This window comes from Homo sapiens, chromosome 6, assembly GCF_000001405.40.
Source record: "Homo sapiens chromosome 6, GRCh38.p14 Primary Assembly".
NCBI classification, from domain to species: Eukaryota; Metazoa; Chordata; class Mammalia; order Primates; family Hominidae; genus Homo; species Homo sapiens.
Window position 1 is genome coordinate 129,904,681 of NC_000006.12, and position 19,758 is coordinate 129,924,438.

The 19,758-nt window shown below is 38.3% G+C and overlaps 1 long non-coding RNA gene across 1 annotated transcript in view; it reads left to right on the forward strand.

Moving 5' to 3' along the window:
* The window catches only part of LOC105377999 (uncharacterized), a 92,281-nt gene that overhangs the window by 49,053 nt on the left and 23,470 nt on the right, over nt 1–19,758 (forward strand). Inside the window, exon 5 of the long non-coding RNA XR_942986.3 lies at nt 17,147–17,272. This is a non-coding gene — a long non-coding RNA (uncharacterized LOC105377999). The remainder of the gene's footprint in view (nt 1–17,146; nt 17,273–19,758) is intronic.

The window sequence follows — 19,758 nt, forward strand, 5'->3', positions numbered from 1 at the left end:
TTGTGGGATAGGTAAAGTAGTTTTAACAGGAAAATGTATAATCTTAAATGTATATTAGAAATATAAGGGCTGAAATTTAGTGAGCTAAGCATCCATTGCAAGAAGTTAGAAAAAAACCAGCAAAATGAACTTATAGAGAAGAAGGAAAACAATAAAAATAAGAACAGAAGATAATTAAATGGAAGACATACAACAGAGAGGAACAATTTAACCAAAATTTGGTTCTCTAAAAGTGTAACTAAATTGACAAAATTCTAGTACTACTAAATGTGGGTGTGTCTGTGTGTCTGTGTGTGTGTGTGTGTGTGTGTGTAAAGGTAGAATGAGAACTAAGAGTAATTACTACTATCAGGAATGAAGAGACATTACTAGAAGCAAAAACAAGTTAATAAAATATAAACAATTTTATGCCAATATATTTGAAATTTCAGACAAATTCCTGGAAAAAATGCATTTTCCTCAAATTGACTGGAGAAGAAAACTTAAGTAATTCTTTACCATTTAAATAATTTGAATTAGTAAAGACCTTTCCAAAATAAGGAAAAAATATCTCCACATCCAACTGACTTCAACTTTGAGTTCTATTCAATGCTCAACAGAGAAATCATGCTACTGTTACTGTTTTGTTTGTTTGTTTGTTTGTTTGTTTGTTTTAAAGAGATAGGGTCTCACTCTGTCATCCAGGCTGGAGTGCAGTGGTGCAATCACAACTCATTGCAGCCTTGAATTCCGGGGCTCCTGCAATCTTCTCATCTCAGCCTCCTAAGTTGATGGAACTACAAGTATGTGCCACTATGCCTGGCTAATTTGTTGTTGTTGTTGTTTTAGAGATGGGGTCTCACTATGTTGCCCAGGCATGTCTCAAACACCTAGCCTCAAGGGACCCTCCCACCTCAGCCTCTCAAAGTTCTGGGATTACAAGCATGAGCAACCATGCTGGCCATATTTTTTTTTTTACATATGAAAAAGAGAGCATTCCTCAAATCATTTTAGTAGGTTAACCTAACCTCCATACAAAAACCTGACAAGTACACTACCAGAAAGGAAAATTAAAGATAATTCCACTCATGAATATAGTTACAACAATCTTCAAAAGGACAACAGATCACAAACAAGTCAACATTTATATAGTCTATCACAAAAAACAATTTGAAGGATAAAAATTACATGATCATTTCAATAGAATAAAAAAGTGTTTAAATTCAGCATCTATCTATAACTTTTTTTAAATACCCTCTTAAAAAACTAATAATAAAAGTGAAATCCATTAATCCAATAGAGGCTATCTGCCAACGCCTACAGCAAACATTCTTAATGATGAAATGCTAATATCTTTCTATTTAATATTAGGAATAATATAAGAATGCCTGTTAGCACCACTTATATTCCGTCTTTTTACTGGAGATCTAAACCAGTGCATCTAGGCAAAAACAAAATGAAACATATAAGTTTTGGGGAAAAAAGTAGCAGCACTGCCATAATTGCTGGCGATACGACTGAGTAAACAGAAACTTTTAAATAATCTAAATAGAAATTATTAAAATTAATAAGAGAATATAGCAAGGTTGATGAATACAAAATAAATACACAAAATTTTGTGTTATATAACTATATGTAGCAATGAACATATTAAAGTGAAATTAAAAGATATAATTTTAATAACAAAATTATGGGTATTTAGAATATATTAAACTATGTTTAAGAGAGCTGTAGGAAACTTTTATAGAATATTATTGAACATAGTTGCTGGTTTAAAGGAGCACTGGTTGAAGTTTTGACAATTTGAGCATCAGAATGAAAAATGAGATAATGGCATTAAATGCACGGCATTAAAAAATAAAATTTATGAGTTCATGCTGATAGCAAAAGCATTAAAAAGGAAGGTGAGAGAATGGAAAGTTCTCTACAAAAGAATGCCAACTAATAAATGTTAAAGGGATGATAAAATTTTAAGTCACTCTTTTGCAACCTCTATAGTAGTAATTGATCATCAATGAATGCTCAAATCACTAGGTGAGAGATTACTGGGGAGCAGGATGTGCATATAATTTTATAATATCACCCAGTGGGTTACTCATTAATTTCAAAGAAAAAAGTTACATTCTCAAAGGTGAAATCTTTCAGATATCACCTTAACAAAGAGATCAAACTTAACGTTAGCAATAATGAAACAAACTGAAATCAAGAGTATCTGGAGGTGAGCACTGAGCAGGAAATAAAAGCTGTCACGGAACCCCTGCCAAAACCCTTAACCAAAATTGGATCACGAGAAAACAATAACATATTCAAGTTGAAGATTTACAAAACAATGGCCTAGATTTCTTAAAAAATGTCAACTTTATGAAAGAAACAAAAAGATTGTGGAGGGGGCTGGAGAACTGCTCTAGTCTGAGGAGATGAAAAATATGTGAAAACTAATATATTGCATGATCTTAGATTGTTTCTGGATTAAAAACAAATGCCCGGACATCTAGGAAGGTTTTGGATTTGACCAAAGAAGCAGGACTGCTGTAAGTGAAACCGAATATGGTATTTATTGTGGAGATTGGGTGGGATGCAGTTGTAGAAGCTGGTGGAGCAATCTATGCAAGCTGTTGCCTCTGTTTCTAGTATTAAGTCTAAAGTTGATTTAGGTCAGCCAGACAAGCAGTAAGGAAAGAAGGGTGCACGTGATGAGAGCAAAGGGAAACCAGGACTGAGTCTTGTTCTCACTACCAACAACCTCAATGCAGTGGGAAACCTACAAGAGAAGCTTGCCCCTTTTCCCATGGAGCTGCACATGCACTTGGCCAGGACTTCCGGAAACTGAAGGAGATTCAGCAGGAGCTGGAGGGTCTGGATGTTATCTCATACCAACAAGGTGGGCTAGCAGAGCAGTGAGAGCATGTGTGAACTGCCACGGTGCCAGGTGCTCAGCAGCGACTTTCAGAGTGTGACAAGATGCCTGCAGCTTCACTTCTACCTTCCCAATCTCATGCAAATTTCTCTTATGGGCAATGCCAAATCAGAAGCATGCAGGAAAGAGAATTCTGAGAAATGTAGCTCCATCTTAACTAAGTCTAAAAGTGTGCAAAGCAACTACAGTCTACTCTTTGCCAGCTTCCCATCAATATGTAACTCTTTTGATTGTACTTGTCTTCTGAATAAAGACAATAACAAAATCGTGCTTTGGCCTAACCTGATGAAAATATTCCCCATGCAACATCAAAACATGAGGACTCTGCAACTGACAATGTCTGTGTCACCCCAAAATTTATATGTTGAAATCCTAACTCTCAGTGCGATGATATTAGAAGGTCATGGGGATGAAGGCCTTGTGAATGGAATTAGTGTCTATATGAAAGAGACTCCAGAGGCTTTCTTGCCCTCTCTCCACCATGTGAGGATACAAGAAGTCAGCAGTCTGCAATCCAGAAGACAGCCCTCACCAGACCCCAACCAGGCTGGCACCCTGATCTCATAAATCTAGACTCCCACACTGTGAGAAATAAATTTCTGTTTTTCTCATAAGCCACCCAGTTATGTTACATTGTTGTGGCAGTCTGAACTAAGAAAGACTCTTTTTCCCAAAAGAGGAGGCCAAGTCCCTTTTTCCACCTTTGTGTGATATTCATTTCTCTTCTAGCTATGCCACACTCTCCCTTTAGCATCCTATAATTTAACACTGAGGTATAAGATTAATACTATTAATACATTATTTTAGAAGGTACAGGAATGGTAGCAGGGAAGAAAATAATTTAAATAAGGAAGAAACACTTTACATTATTATAGTTCTTGTTTTTGCAACTGGTCACATGATTGCAATTGGTATTTATAACTACCTCCTTTCAGTACCCATTCCCTATTCCCTTCACCCTCAGCAAGGACCTCTGATGGTCATGGTGGGGTGACTCAAACCGTCATTCATAAAGGGTGTGGGCCATTAGCTTTCCTGTATTGTGTTAATGTAGCTTTCCATTGATTTAATCACAGGACAAGGGAATGCTAGGAGACACCACTAGAGAATCTTTTGTATTCCAGACATACTCCTCCTTGCCCCTATCATGTAGTAGCGTTCCTCACTCCAGCCAATTCAGTAATCCAAAACCCTAAGATTAATTTGTGTTCTCTGAATTAATTACATAGAGATGCTAGCAAGAACAGTACTGGCCAATCGTTGTGGGTGGAAGCATCAAATGAGTATAGGCAAAGGAAATGAAAAGAGTGGATATAGAAAACATTTTTTAAAAGTTTGATGGGAAGTGGTAGAACTTGGCTTGTATAATATCACCCAGTAGGTTACTCATTAATTTCAAAGAGTGAAATAACATCCTTTGGCCACTCATCTCTTTCCAGCCAGAAAAGAGATGAGTGGCCAAAGGATGTTAGAGTGTGTCTTTGTGTGTCTGTGTAGAAGTTTCTAAATGAGAACTGTTTCTTCTCCCAGTTGAGTAAGTGGTAAAACCATGCACCCACCTACTCAAACCAAAAGCTTAGGTATACTTCACATGTACTACCTTTCTTTGAGCTCCATATCCAGTCTGCCAGTGAGTCCTGATGTCTGTCCCTGCAAAATATATCCAAATACAATTACATCTTGCCACTTCCATTGACCATCTCAGTTGACAACATTTTTCACCTGACCACTGCAATAAGCCTCCTAGCTTGTCCCTTTGCTTCCATTCTTGCTGCATTTCCCCCTCTCCTACTCCAACGCCCAACCTTTTTTCCACACAGCAGTCAGAGTGATCTTTTAGAAGAGGAATCAGAGCATGTCTCTACTGCAGTAAGCCTCCTAGTAATTTTTCCTCCATTTACCTACCATGGCCTACGGGACATTCCTTGATCTGGCCCCAGCACCAACCTCATTTTCTACCTTTATGCTCCAGCTCAGGTGTCCCTTACTCTGATCCTTGAACATATCAAACTTACTCCCCTCTCTCAGTCTTTTTTGCATTTGCCCTTTGCTTTGCCTGGAATGCTTTGCCTCTGCTGGATCCTTGCGTGGCTGGCTCTACCGTTCTCACCTAGTCTCTGCTCAAATGGCCCCTCTATAGAGATGGGCCCTCCCACCTCCCCATTCAATTGACCCATCATGTTTTATTTCCTTTATAGCCCATATCAGCATCTAAAATTATCTTGTATATATACATAGCATAGTATTTGTTTATTTTCGTCCTCCCTTTCGGTGTGTAATAAACTTCCTGAAACCTAAGACCTTTTCTGTCTTTTTTTATGTTCTATCTCTAAATTAAGAAGAGTGGCTGGCACATAATAGGTGCTCAGCAAATATTTGTTGAAAACAAATGAATGAATAATTCCCAAAGGTAAAAAGAGAGATAACACAAGAGATAGAATAATTTACATGTTAAATTGTGCAGTTATTCTCCCCCAGATGCAACGTCCACCCCTCCTGGCATTGCTCTGTCTTAGGAAGCTGAGCCCTGTAGACTTCAACATTCCAGTTCCTTCCTAGTTGGTTTCTGGTTGGGTTGAGTAAGTAGCGGGAACTGGCAAGAAGATTGAAGAATGGGAGAGAGGACAGTATTTCTTCTCCATTTCCTGTTTGCTTCAAGACCACTTCCTCACAAAGACTGAACTTCCCTGAAATGATAGTCTCTCCCTCCTCTTCCCCAAGACTGCAATTCTCCAAGTTCCAGTAACAGCATTACTACTGCTCATCCCTTCAGTTCTAGGGGTGGTAATTCCTGATACTGCTAGTTCCTGGGTGCTCTAACATTTTTCTTAGGCCTCTTAACTGTGACCAAACCTCCATAAGTAGCCTCTTATTGAAAGTCTCTCTATTGGAACCATTTGGAATATGTAGGTTGTCTTCTGCCTGCCCTTCAAGATCCACTTTCCACCTTTCTCCACCATATTTTGTGTACCAGGAAGCTAAACCATCTAGACTTGACCAATGAAGTCCATTAGCCGAAGTCTTTCAGTAGAGTTCAGCTAAAAAGAAATACCAGCAGGAAATTAGAGGGTGAAAGAAACATCAAGTCAGGGTATTCATTCTCCCTCTTCAGTTGTCAGTTGTCTCAAACTGAATGCCTTTATCCCATTTCTTAGCTCCTGTCAGGAAGTTCATTCTTATACCCAGTCTGTACTTTTGACTCTTGTCACTTCAGATCTTGAGGTATTGAAAGCTCTCTGCTGCTCCAGGTTACAGGGTGTTGTTCCATCACGTGTTGCTTTTCCCAAACCTTGTGCACATCTTTGCATATAGTCCCTTTATTAAACTCTCCAAATTACTCAATTTGATTGTGCCACGTGTTACCTTCCAGGACCCTGACTGGCAAATGCAGTGAGGCTCAACCATTGCCATATCAGATGATGCCTCTCCAGTGAGCTGTCAGTGCATATTAGTTTATTTCAATGCAAAGGATTGTGCTTGTTATTCCAATACTTTCCTCTCTCACTAAGCAATCGTGACTTAATCAAACTTGGACAACACATACTTGTGAAAAGAACGGGAGATGGGGCAGCTCCGCCTTACATGAGATTCTCCGAATGCAGGTTTTTGTCCTTCAGGATCCACTGAACTTTCTGAGCATCACATTGGGCTACCTGTTTGTGCTCTATCTGCTCTGCTGTGCTAAAGGGAAGGGTTGTATAGACTATGGGTCAGTATTGGAGCCATCTCTTGTTATGCTGAGAATTCTTTTTTTCCCTTTTTTCAAATTTATTTTTATTGAAATAAAATGTACATATATAATTTACCAGCTTTACCATTTTTAAGTGTACAGTTCAGTGATAATAAATACATTTATACTATTTTTCCTCCTTCATCCTTCCCTTCCCCTGAGTGCTGAGAATTCTTAATCTCAGTCTACAACTACTTGAAGTTCACACTTCAGGCAGTTATCAATTTGAAAATGAGGCCATGCTGTGTAATGGTGAGATCATGGCAGTCAGATATACCTGGATCTAAGTCCTGACTGTCTCATTTGCCATGGATGTGCTAACAATGGCCACACACCAACACTAACACTCTCTCTGCTAAAACAGAAGGATGTCCACGCTGTGACAGGCAGATCACAGTTACCTTATATTCAGAAATGACCTCTCATTTTTTGGGTCTCTTTGTGCTGCATCTGTTCTGCTGTGGTGATGGGAGGGGTTTTACAGGCCAGGCTGAATTTTGAGGGGGAAGAAGACACCTTCCAGGTAGAATACTCCTTGGAAGTGTTCCCTCCTATTGACAGAAATCACTGTTGCTGTGTTACTTCCTGTATTTCACTGTGGAACCACATCCTCTGCCCGAAGCAATCCAAGTTGCTGCTGATTAGCATTCATACATATAATTCAAGGACTGTATTTAGACACACAAACTCAGGGTGTAAAAGAATGTGTATTAGTCTGTTTTCACACTGCTATAAAGAACTACCTGAGACTGGGTAATTTATAAAGAAAAGAGGTTTAACTGACTCACAGTTCTGCATGGCTGGGAGGCCTCAGGAAACTTAGAATCATGAGAGAAGGTGAATGGAAAGCAAGGCATGTCTTATATGGTGGCAGGAGAGGGAGACAGCGATGGAGGAAGTGCTATATTTTTAAACAATCAGATCTTGTGAGAACTCACTCACTATCACAAGAAGAGCATGGGAGAAACCGCCTCCATGATCCAATCACCTCCCACTAGGTCCCTTCCCTGACACATGGGGATTATAATTTGAGATGAGATTTGGGTGGGCACACAGAGCCAAACAATATCAGAAGGCATGCCACATATGTGACTTTTTAATGTAACTTTTCCACATTAAAAAAAAAACACGCAAGGTCACCGATACACAGGCTCTGGGTGGCCTTCCAGAACAGAGCCCACGTAGCTTAATCAGGCCATAGCTAAATGAATGCATGATGAGCAAGTGGAGTTTGTGTGGCCTGTTTCAGTTCTTCTGAACTCTGACCCTATTTGTATCAACTGAAGATTCGAAAACAGTGTCTTTCTCTTCAATTAGCTTTAGGCATAACCGGAAGTTGGTGTGTATCAGTTAGAATTTGATCGCATGCAAAAAGGAAAATATTCTCATGGTAGCTTTCGCATAGAAGAACTCAGATTTCTCACCTAACAAGAAGACTTGTCCAGGAAGGTGCAGCTACTTGATGAGCCAGGCAGGGACCCAGACTCACACTTTTTGTCCTGCCAAGCTTACCTTGTAACGTTCATAAGCACAATTATAACATGACTGCTATAGACCAAGTAAATATCTGCATTCCTGACAGGAGGAAGGGGAAAGGGGCAGAAAGCCAAAAGGGCTGAGTTTCCCCAGAGATTTCTGATTACATTCATTGGTCAGAACTGGGTTCCATGGCCAGCCCTAGCTGCAAGGGACTCTGGGAAGATATTTTTAACAGAGTCCCTAACTATCATGACAAAATTGGGGTTCTGTTACTACAGAAGAAAAGAAGAGCTTGGGAAGGCAACTAGCAGTGTCTGATCTGTGCTAAAAATTTAATTTTTCTTTTCTTGCTCTCAATTATATATTTTCTTCCTTCTTCTGATGCAGTTCACTCTCTGTCCCTAGAAGCACTTTTTACATACCCGTCCCAGAAAGAAGAGTTTACTCTCAGTTGCAGTAGTAGATGTAGAGTATTTGTGAGTTGAAAGTGAAGTTGGGATTGGGGTGGACCCTCAATTATAACCTCAATCAAGGTAGTTTTACATAGGCATATTTTGCCCCTCAAAAATCAGACTTTCCTGGATGGGTACAGTGGCTTAAGCCTGGAATCCCAACACTTTGGGAGGCTGAGGTGGGTGGATCACTTGAGGCCAGGTATTCAAGACCAGCCTGGCCAATATGGTGAAACCCTGTCTCTACTAAAAAGATGAAAATTAGCCGTGTGTGGTGGTGGGCACCTGTAATCCTAGCTACCTGGGAGGCTGAGGCAAGAGAATCGCTTGATCCAGGGAGGCAGAGGTTGAATTGAACCAAGATTGTACCACTGTACTCCAGCCTGAGCAACAGAGCAAGACTTCACCTCAAAAAAAAAAAAAAAAAATCAGGCTTTCTTGTAGGATTATGAGTTCTGCTTCAAAATAAGATTTTTGTAATATAGCTGAAGAAGGAGAACACAAAAGCTCTTAGGGTTGGAGAGAAATTATAACCTCAATCAAGGTAGTTTATTCCTTTTCACAATTTATTTTCATTTCTTCTCCCTTGCCAAGTTTATTACATTATCCTTATTGTCATTATAAAGTTAGAAAAATTTTTAGAAAACATTTGGGAAATAGAGAAAAGAATAGTCACTAATAGTTTTACTATTCCAATACTTCCACTATTATTGTACTTAATATTTCTTTTTTTTTTTTTTTTTTGAGATGGAGTTTCACTCTTGTTACCCAGGCTGGAGTGCAATAGCACGATCTTGGCTCACTGCAACCTCCGCTCCCAGGTTCAAGCGATTCTCCTGCCTCAGCCTCCTGAGTAGCTGGGATCACAGGCTTGCGCCATCATGCCGGGCTAATTTTTTGTATTTTTAGTAGAGATGGGGTTTCACCATGTTGGCCAGGCTGGTCGCGAACTCCTCACCTAAGGTGATCCACCTGCCTCAGCTTCCCAAAGTGCTGGGATTACAGGCATGTGCCACTGCGCCTGGCCTGTACTTGTATATTTCTTGTTGTTAAATCATAATATTCATTGAATTTCACATCCCTGTTTTACAATTAGCATATCATAAGCATTATTGTTATTAGAATTTATATCACAAATGTTATATATGGGTGAGTGTGTGTGTGTATAGTCATGCACTGCAAAATGATGTTTTAGTCAATGACTGCATATACAATGGTGGTCTCATAAGATTATAACACTGTATTTTTATTGTATGTTTTCTATGTTGACATACACAAATACTTACCAATGTGTTACAGTTGCCTATAGTATTTAGTACAGTAACATGATGCACTGGTTTGTTGCCTAGGGGCATAGGCTATACCGGATAGCCTACATGTGTAGTAGGCTACACTATTTAGGTTTGTGTGAGTATACTCTATGATGGTCACACAATGGCAAAATTACCTAACAACACATTTCTGAGAACGTGACTATGTATAGTAAAACTAATAAATTCTTATAGGAATGTTGATATTCAAAAAGATCAAAATATTAGCCACCACTTAATGAGCATTTAATATCAGGCATGGTATTAAGCACATTCTCAAATCCATTAACTCATTTATTTCTTACAACACCCTATGATCAAGATATTATTATCATCCCTATGAACAGGTAAGGAAACTGGAGCTCAGAGATGGTTAAATGCCCTTTCTAAAATCCCACAGCTAGTGTTCATTTCATTTTTAAAAATAATAATATGTATAATAATGATATATAATTCTGGTAATAGAGCATTAATGCAAAATTTCACTCCAACCCTAAGAGCTTTGTGTTTTCCTGCTTCAACTTTATTACAGAAATCTTATTTTGAAGCAGAACTCATAATCCTAAGAAAGCCTGAATTTTTTTTTTTTTTTGAGATGGAATCTCGCTCTGTTGTCCAGGCTGGAGCGCAGTGCAAGCGAGCCTCCTGCCTCAGCCTCCCAAGTAGCTGGGATTACAGGTGCCCACCACCATACCTGACTAATTTTTGTATTTTTAGTAGAGACAGGGTTTCACCATGTTAGCCAGGCTGGTCTTGAATTCCTGGCCTCAAGTGATCCACCCACCTCAGCCTCCCAAAGTGCTGGGATTACAGGCTTGAGCCACTGCACCCGGCCAGGAAAGCCTGATTTTTGAGGAGCAAAATGTGCCCATGTAATGACATGTAAAGTGAAGATTTGAAAATGATCCTATCAAGTTAATGAATTATATCTGTTTTATTCAACTGGGCCCTCTATTCTAATCAAATTACTATTTGACTCTGCTGCATACACAAGCTTTTTAAAAAAAAATTTGACAATTCTCTGCACTCAGCTTAATCATGTCACTTTCCTGTGATCTTTTGTGTTATTTATTAAAACAAATGATTATCCATATCAAAGTGTAGTTTTTCCATTTTCCTCTCAGTCATGACATAGATATATTTGGAATAGGGACGTGCTGCTGTCCTATCACTCTTCCTAAAAGGCAGAGTTGGGAAAGTGAGAAAAGCCCACAGTGTTACTTAGGATATTCCTAGATAGCTTATTGCCATAAAGCAGCAAACTACTAGGTGATTATCAAGCGAAATGATGAGTACATTGATTTAATATTTTTCTTAACCTTTTTGTTGCAACAAGAGAGCTCATCGAAGAAGATACTTTAATGTTCCCATTCAAAATGATTAAGCCAGAAAGGATTTAGGGCACTCTAGGCCTGTTATTTAACTAGAACAATGAAAGTAAATATATGTCTTCGAAACATTTATTTAGTTTTTGTTTTAATAAGTAATATTCAAATGATTTATTTAAAACTTTTTAAAAAACTTGAACAAAGTAAACACTGAGAAGGCTCCGTCCTACCTTGCACTATCTATCTCATTCCTACTCCCCCTATGAATAACTGCTTGTATTAATTGTTCATATTGCTTCCTCCACTTCTTGTATAAAATGTAGATTATCATCACTTTACTCCACACCTTGAGTTTTATCTTTAACAATATTTCCCCGAGATTTTTCCTTATCAGGACATCTTATGCTTCCTCATTGTTTTTTCACAGCTACCTAATATTCCATTGTGTGCATGTACCATAATTTAATTAACCACTCTGCTGATAGACACTTGGGTTGTTTCTAATCTTCTGCCTTCACAAACAATGCCATCATGAATAACCTTAGACATAAATCATTTTGATGTGTGCAGATGTGTCAGTAAGATGCATTCCCAGAAGTGAGACTGCTGGGTCAAAGGGTAAATACATTTGTAACTATTAAAAATATTGCCAAAATGTCCTTTATGGGGTTGTGCCATTGGGTTCTGCCACTAGCAATGTATGAGAGTACCTATTACCCCATAGCCTCAGAAACAGAATTTTGTTCAACTTATTCACTGTTGCCAATCTGATAAGTAAAAAACTGGTGTTGGTTAGTGAATCTGGCTTTAATTCACAGAGAGATAACATGCAATTTCGAGTAATGTGAAAGACTTTTTGTGGTTGTGATTTTTGTTTTTCATACGATCTGTGTCTGCCACACACTATCCTGAAGTCCTGTGTCACAAAATCACTGCTATAAGTGGAACTGTGTCAATGAGGGCTTCCAGGACTTATATATCATGCCTTTTGACATAAGGCAATAGGTATGGTGTCAGGAGCCCTTGTATTCAAGCCAAGAGAAAAATGAAGCATCAAGGAGTCAAGTCCTAGACCTTCCTGTAACTGATTATGTCCTTTGAGCCAGTCATTGAATCACTAAAGGTTCAATATCCTTATGCGGTGAAAGTATCGGGAAGCAGAATAATGAAAAATGAGATAAAGTTTTAACGACTCTTGCTGAGGAAGGAGAAGGATGGGAGAAAACACCAATTTAAGGCAGCAAAATTGTGCCTTACTGATACCATCAATTGGAAATATTGGACTTGTGATGATCTGGGTAGAATAAAATAGTTATACTCTGGAGTCTATTTTGTTCCAACATGTTGAGATGTTCATATGGACCCGACATGGTGAAATGTTCAGATGGACCTTTGGGATACTAAATTCTGGTTACAATGGGGCCAAGCCAATACTGAATTTAAAAGGGACTGGTGTTTGTAAATACTTTGACTCAAAATCTATGATTGGATACAGATTAAATTTATTATGTTTTAGAGATCGTGCATATCTTATGACCATAATTTTAATTAAATTTAAATTTCAAGCTAGTCTGCTTAAAATTGTACATTAGATTTCGGGCCATTGATATTTATTAAATAACTATCCCCTGGATGCTAAATATTTAACTAATAATATGTAATAGACACATTTTCGAAACATTTAGCTGAATGTATAGTACAATCCTGTTTCATCTGAAACCTTGTGTGTTTACTGGTAGATATTTGTATAGAATAATATTGGAGAGACTATACATTAAAAGTGGATAGTCTTTCAAACAATTCCATCTAAGTTGTAGAATTTCAAGTAACTTTAATTTTTTGCTTGCTCATATGAATTTCTATAATTTTCCAGAAAGAATATTTATTATCTTTGACAAATAATTTTGTAAAATCACGGAAAAATATTTTGAGGTTAAAGATGGGACTGGAGGGAGACTTTCATTGCCAAAAGTTCAGTTCAAAGAATTCTCGTATCTAGTCAATGCTGTTCAACCAACCAGAAGCATTTTAAAAGAGGTAGGGTAACAATTTGCTAGGTGCTTTTTTCTATATTAGTGATCTCTCTCAACACTCTCTGTAGTGTCATTTCTTCCTTTTTTACATTTTTTATTTGAAGACAAAATAGAAGAAATCATAGAGCTTGAAGGTGAAAAGCCTTTCAAAATATCTATTTGGTATGTAAACATAATTTTTCAACCACTTTGTTTTATGCCTCTCATGATTTCCAACAGATATAATAGGTCTTAGTTCCATTTTCTATTGTATTATAATGGTTATTTTCACAGGACGCTGTTCACAGTATCTTCTTAACTGGTCTCTGGGCAATGCATCTGACAAAAAGCCAGATTAGTATGTTCCTAAAACACCACTTTCATTATGTAACTTTCCTGCTCAAAAATCTCCAATAGTTTCTCTCATTTATTGTCATGATTTTCGAGCTTTTAGACAGTAGAACATTTTCTTGCCCTAAAGAATACTTATGTGGAATCCCTATGAATAAAACAGATGACAGTAGTGTTTTATTAGAACTTATGATAAAGTCCATCAATAAAAATCATGAGGCTATTTTGATACACACAGAAAGACAATCGAGTGTTATGGTTGAAACTGAAAGTCTTCAGCATTCAAATATATTTCCATATTTTATTCTGGTTACATAGAACTGAAAAACATCTCCATTTATAAAAAATAAGCAGATGATGTTAATAAAAGGTTTTTTAATAGCTAAGCTTTAAATCACAATGAATCAAAAATTACATAAAAAGTTTACCCCAATGTTTGCAACAAAAGTTAATGTGTTGGTAGAAGTCACTGTGTTAAAAAGTGATAGATTACACATTTGAGTGTGGGTGCTGATTTGCTTCTCTGTTTGTATCCTTGTTTCTTTTAACTATAGAACTTAATATTCACGAATATATTTTTAAAATATTTAAGATCAGGTTGATTTTAAAAAGCTTTTTAGTTCATGGAAAGATTTTCAGCAAATGAGAGTCAGTTGGTTCTTTGCAGCTTTAAACTAGACGTTCTTTTTTTCTCAATCCTATGTACACTGTCAAACATCTTTTTCTATAAAAAGACCAGTTTTGTCTGCCGAGGTGGAAAACATTCTTCCTTGTTGATCTCTGCAAGTGTAGGGAATTGTTTTTTTGGTATTCACACTCTTCTCACTTTGATATTGTGCGGATCACTGAGGCCTTGAACCTATGGAAATACATCTTTCGCCAAAAGTTCCAAGACCATCCATTTACTGAGGACTTGGCCTTCGAGTCCTCAAACTCTGAAAATTATCTCCTAAATAAACATCAGGATCTAAGCCGTACAAGCCTCTGAGATTGCTCCTTTGGCCTTACATGTGTGTTTTCATTGTGTTATTTTTATATTTTTCCTGATGATTATTGTCCGTTTCATTTTTTCATGATTCACTTTTAGTTTCTCAGAATCTATTCTTCTAATGATTTAACCCATGCACTCAAATAAAAAGCACAGTCTCATACCATTTTCACTTTTTGAATTATCTTTACTTTTTGTCATAATTGTACTCTGCCTTTTATTACTTAACACTTTTAAACATTCTTTTTTTATACTTATCACTCTCGATAGGGTAAGTACTGTTTGAAAACACTTTAAAACTAAGCACACATTCAGCAAACACAGTCACTTCTCAAGTACAGTAGCCAAGAATAAAATGAACAGGCCAGGTGTGGTGGCTAGTGCCTGTAATCTAGCGCTTTGGGAGGACGAGGAGGGAGGATCACTCCAGGCCAGGAGTTCAAGACCAGCCTGGGCAACACAGGGAGACCGTGGCAAAAAATATTTAAAAACTAGCCAGGCATGGTGGCATGTGCCTGAAGTCCCAGCTACTTGGGAGGGTGAGGTGGAAAGACACTTAAGCCCCAGTATTTCAAGGCTGCAGTGAGCTATGATCATGCCACTGCACTCCAGCCTGGGTGTCAGTGCCAGACCCTGTCTCTAAATAAATAAATAAATAAATAAATAAATAAATAAATAAATGGCACAATTGTGGATACCATCTGTGGGTGGCAGGCAGAAGTGACTCTCTACTGCCCCAGAGGCTAGCTCTGTTGTTAGTCTATGGCAGTGTGTAAGTTGCAGGTTTGTAAGCTGATTTTTCTAAGGAGTTTCTATAGTTAAGTGTACTTTTAAAAGACAATTTAAATTTTTTAAGAAAAGCAATTAAAATCAAGCATTAGCAGAACATAACTACGTGTTTAACAAGGGTTACCAAATTTATCTTATAAAGGACCAGATAGTAAATATTTTATTCTGTACAAGTCACACAGTCTCCAGTGAGATTGCTTAACTCTGTGACTGTAACACAAATACAGCCATAGACAATATGTAAGCAAATAGGCATGACTATGTTCCAACAAAACTTTATTTACAAAAACAGGGAGTGGGCTAGATTTGGCCCACAGGCTATAGTCTGCTGACCCCGGGATAGAGTATAAACAATTCTTGTTTGTCTTACCCAGTGTACATAAATAAATAAATAATCATTATGGTAGATTAAATATAGCTGCAAATTCTTTCCTACTTCTTCCACTGAGAGGTGGAGTCTAAGTTCCCTTTCCCTGAATCAGAGTTGTCCTTTGTGACTTCCTTGACCAGCAGAATGCTGTGTAAATATCATTCTGGGACTTCTGAGGCTAGATAAGAAGTCTCATAGCTTCCTCTCGGGCCTCTTGGAATGCTTGCTTTAGAGAAGCCTCCACCATCTAACAAGGCCAACAACCCTCAGGCTGTCGTGTAGTTAAGAAGTACAAGTCACGTGGCAAGGCCCTGGAGGATGAAATATCCTATGGAGAGAGAGAGAGGCAAAGAACATCAAGGTGCCAGAGATGCGAATAAGGAAGCCATCTTGGACGGGATCCCAGGTTGAGCTTCTGCCGCTGGTGCCCAAGTAGTATGGAGACAAACCACCCCCACCTCACTGTGTCTGAATTCCTAACTGACCCAAATAAATGCTGCTATGGTTGTTTTAAGCCATTAGCTTTTAAGGTGTTGTAGGGAGTTCAAGGACTTCAGGTGTATCAGCTATAAAGGGATTTCAGGTATATTGAGGGAAAAACAAGACTATGATGGGCAGTAGCATACAACGAGCTTTCCCTGTTAGGCACAAAAGAGTGGGGTCTGTTGGCAGGCAAAATGCAAATACTCTGGAATCAGTGAAAGAAAGCACTTCTCTGCAAGTTTTGAGAAGGGATCTGGAATGGATCTTTTGCTCTGTTGATTAGATCATATTCTTTGGACTCTACTTTTCTCTCAGGCTGCATCTGAGGGGAGGTCCCTCACAGCAGAAGACCTCCCAGAGGCAGCAGTGAGGAGCCATCACCAGAAGGGGAAGAGGGCACAAGAACTTCTGCTGGGGATGGGAATCAGAGAGCAGGCTCACATGTCTAGATGCTGCTGCTCAGCAGCACTGTGGGACAGAGACCTCAGAAGGCCATAGCAGCCATTTATAGCCCCAGAGTTTTTCTTATCTATGCTTAGCAGATATTGGGTGCAGTTTCTGAAGTGTGCAAAGTAGGCAGGCTCTAAATGGCCTAAAATATGCTTATTTGCACTATATAAAAACTGGATGCGTAAAAGTTTGAGTTTAGAGCTTATGGGCTTTGAGTTAATAGCCTACTGTGAAGAAGTAAACAACATGTGGGCCAATATACAGGGGTTATCCTTGGGATCATGTATATGACAGGTGGTTTTATTACGCAGCAATAGATAACCAGAACAATACAGCTATGCTATATTGCAATCTTTTCAGAAATCTCTATTTTGTTTGCCCAGTTAGAGTCCACGTTTCTTTAGCACACCAGTGTCTTAAATGTTTTGTATAATGCACAGGATTTAACCCAATGCTTTGTAAAGAGTTTCTATGTAATAACTATTTCTTAAATGATGCAAATTTGCAGATATTTTGATGGTCAAAGAACTCACTACCCTGATTGGTGCACACAAAAGAATGGGGTCTGTTTGCATGCAAAATGCAAATTCTGGAATCAGTGAAAGCAAGCACTTCTCTGCAAAGTTTTGAGGAGGTATCTGGAATTTATCTTTTTCTCTGTTGATTAGATCATATTCTTTGGAATCTACTTTGCTCTTATTTACTGACAGTTACATATGACTTGAAAAATGTGATTACCATGCACCAGTATGCCAAATAATATTTCTCAGTACCATGTGAAGATTTGGACATACTTAGAAAGCTCTGTGCTATAACTGACATTAGTTGGTATGCACATTTTACTTATGTAGTATATTTTAATTCTGGAGATGTAGATGCATCAACTTCTTTAACTAGCAAAATGCCACCAAGACTCATATTGGAGTAGAAAACCAAAACTGGGACATGTCCCCCATGGCTCTGAAGAGATGCCTCATTGCTCATCTCTGCATCTTTCTGCAGGTCTGCTCCCTTCTCCATGCCCTCTTGACCATCTTCTTATATTTACTCAGGATTTTTCAGCCCATAACTTCCATTTGCGTGTGGCTCTGTTTGACCCAGCAATCTACAATCCTAACTCTGTCATGCGAGACCTCAGCTTCAACTTCTTTGGCTAATTGGCAATAGTCTTTCAGCTTTCTAGTTCCAAAATTTCTGCAAGCAACATGTGGTTGGTTCAGATGGTCTTTTATCCCCAGATCACCAGCCAATCTGTGGATGGGCTCTCCTTGATGGAGTGGACCACATTTCTCTAAATAGCTGAGGTCAGTGACAGGGTGGGATATTATAGAGCCAGTACAAGCTACAAGATACAGAACATGGTAGTCAAGGTCTACCCCTTTCTTCAGAGGTTGTGATGGGTTGGGAGAAAGGGTCAGATGCCTCAAAATATATCCTATCAATTGTGGTTCATTGTCACCTTGACAACTGGCTACATGGAAGTTCAGAATTTGAGCCTAGAAATCTAGAAGAAAAATGGTGACATTAGCCAAAATAAGGAAAGTACATGGGGAAGCCAGTTTTGTGGGATATAATGTTATTATGATATTGATTTTTAGAGAATAATGTGGAGATCTTCTTTCTCTGGGTTTTCTCATAAATGGATAAACTTCCTGAAACATGACTAAATTATATGTGTGAATCTTCAGCACATTCTTCCTTTTTCAAGTGTAGCTAAACAGTTGCTGAAAATGTTACCTATTAATTAAATTTCAAATGTGATTAACTAAAATCCGTCTTATTGCCAAATAACTTCAGGTAAATGATGCCCATTAATTTTAAAATTTTGGTTATAGCACAAAAATGGCAAAAGTGCTGATCACATTCTTGAATTTATAGTGTTTCAATAATAGCATTATCAGGCCAGGCGCAGTGGCTCATGCCTGTAATCCCAGCACTTTGGGAGGCCGAGGCAGGTGTTATCACCTGAGGTCAGGAGTTCGAGACCAGCCTGGCCAACATGGTGAAACCCCGTCTCTACTAAACATACAAAAATTAGCCAGGCATGGTGGCAGGCACCTGTAGTCCTAGCTACTCAAGAGGCTGAGGCAGGAGAATCACTTGAACCCAGGAGGCAGAGGTTGCAGTGAGCCGAGATCATGCCACTGCACTCCAGCCTGGGTGACAGAGCAAGACTCCGTCTCAAAATAATAATAATAATAATAATAATAATAATAGCATTATCCAGGCATCTCTTAGGTCAAAGGAGTAAATTAAATTTGCAAGAGATAAACATTTCCTTCATTGTGGAACTGCTATAATTCTGGATACCTTGACCTAGAAGATGAGGTAATGGAATAAGAAACTCTGGGCAGGAAGTAGACTTTATTTTTAAAGCCATCTTAAAAGATACAGTCATACTGTGGGCTGATGATACTTCAAGTGTGCATGGCTATTTCTTGCAGTAATGTGGTCTGATTGAGCAATTCTAGAGAAGGAACACTTAAATCACAATAAAAGAGCCCAGTAAGTTTTCAAATTGTTCTCATCACTGGAAATGTCTTCCCTAAAGTAAGTCAAATTCTGCTTCCTTTGACTACACTCACTGATGCAAGTTGTTCCCTCTGAAGCCATACAGAATAAGGGTCAGGTTCTTCCACCATTTCTCATCTGACATGATTTTCAGATCCCTCACATTTTCTTACCCTTCTGAATATACTGGTGACTGGTTTTGCTGCTTTCTTAATGTGCTCTGAAGAAGATTCAAGTAACACTTACAAACACAATAGACTAGAGTTACATAACTCAAGAGTTAAGAAAGACTGGAACTGGCTTTTTAAAAGTTATGTAATAATAGCTTTTTTATCATTAGCTATAATTTGATAAAACCATTAGATGTTTTATCAAAAAGTAATAATGGTGGCAATGACAACTAACTCAGGTGTAGATCTCCAAAGTTCCCAAAGCCCTTTCCTAGCTGACATTTTTCCCCCATCCCTATTTGCACAAGCCATACTAGTCTTATTCCTAACACCAACTCCTCAGGAACTAAGGGAAAGTTGACAGTTACTGTTTGTGGTTTGACATAAGAAGGACAAAAAAAAAACCCTTCTATTTCCAGAGACAGTCTATAAATATGTG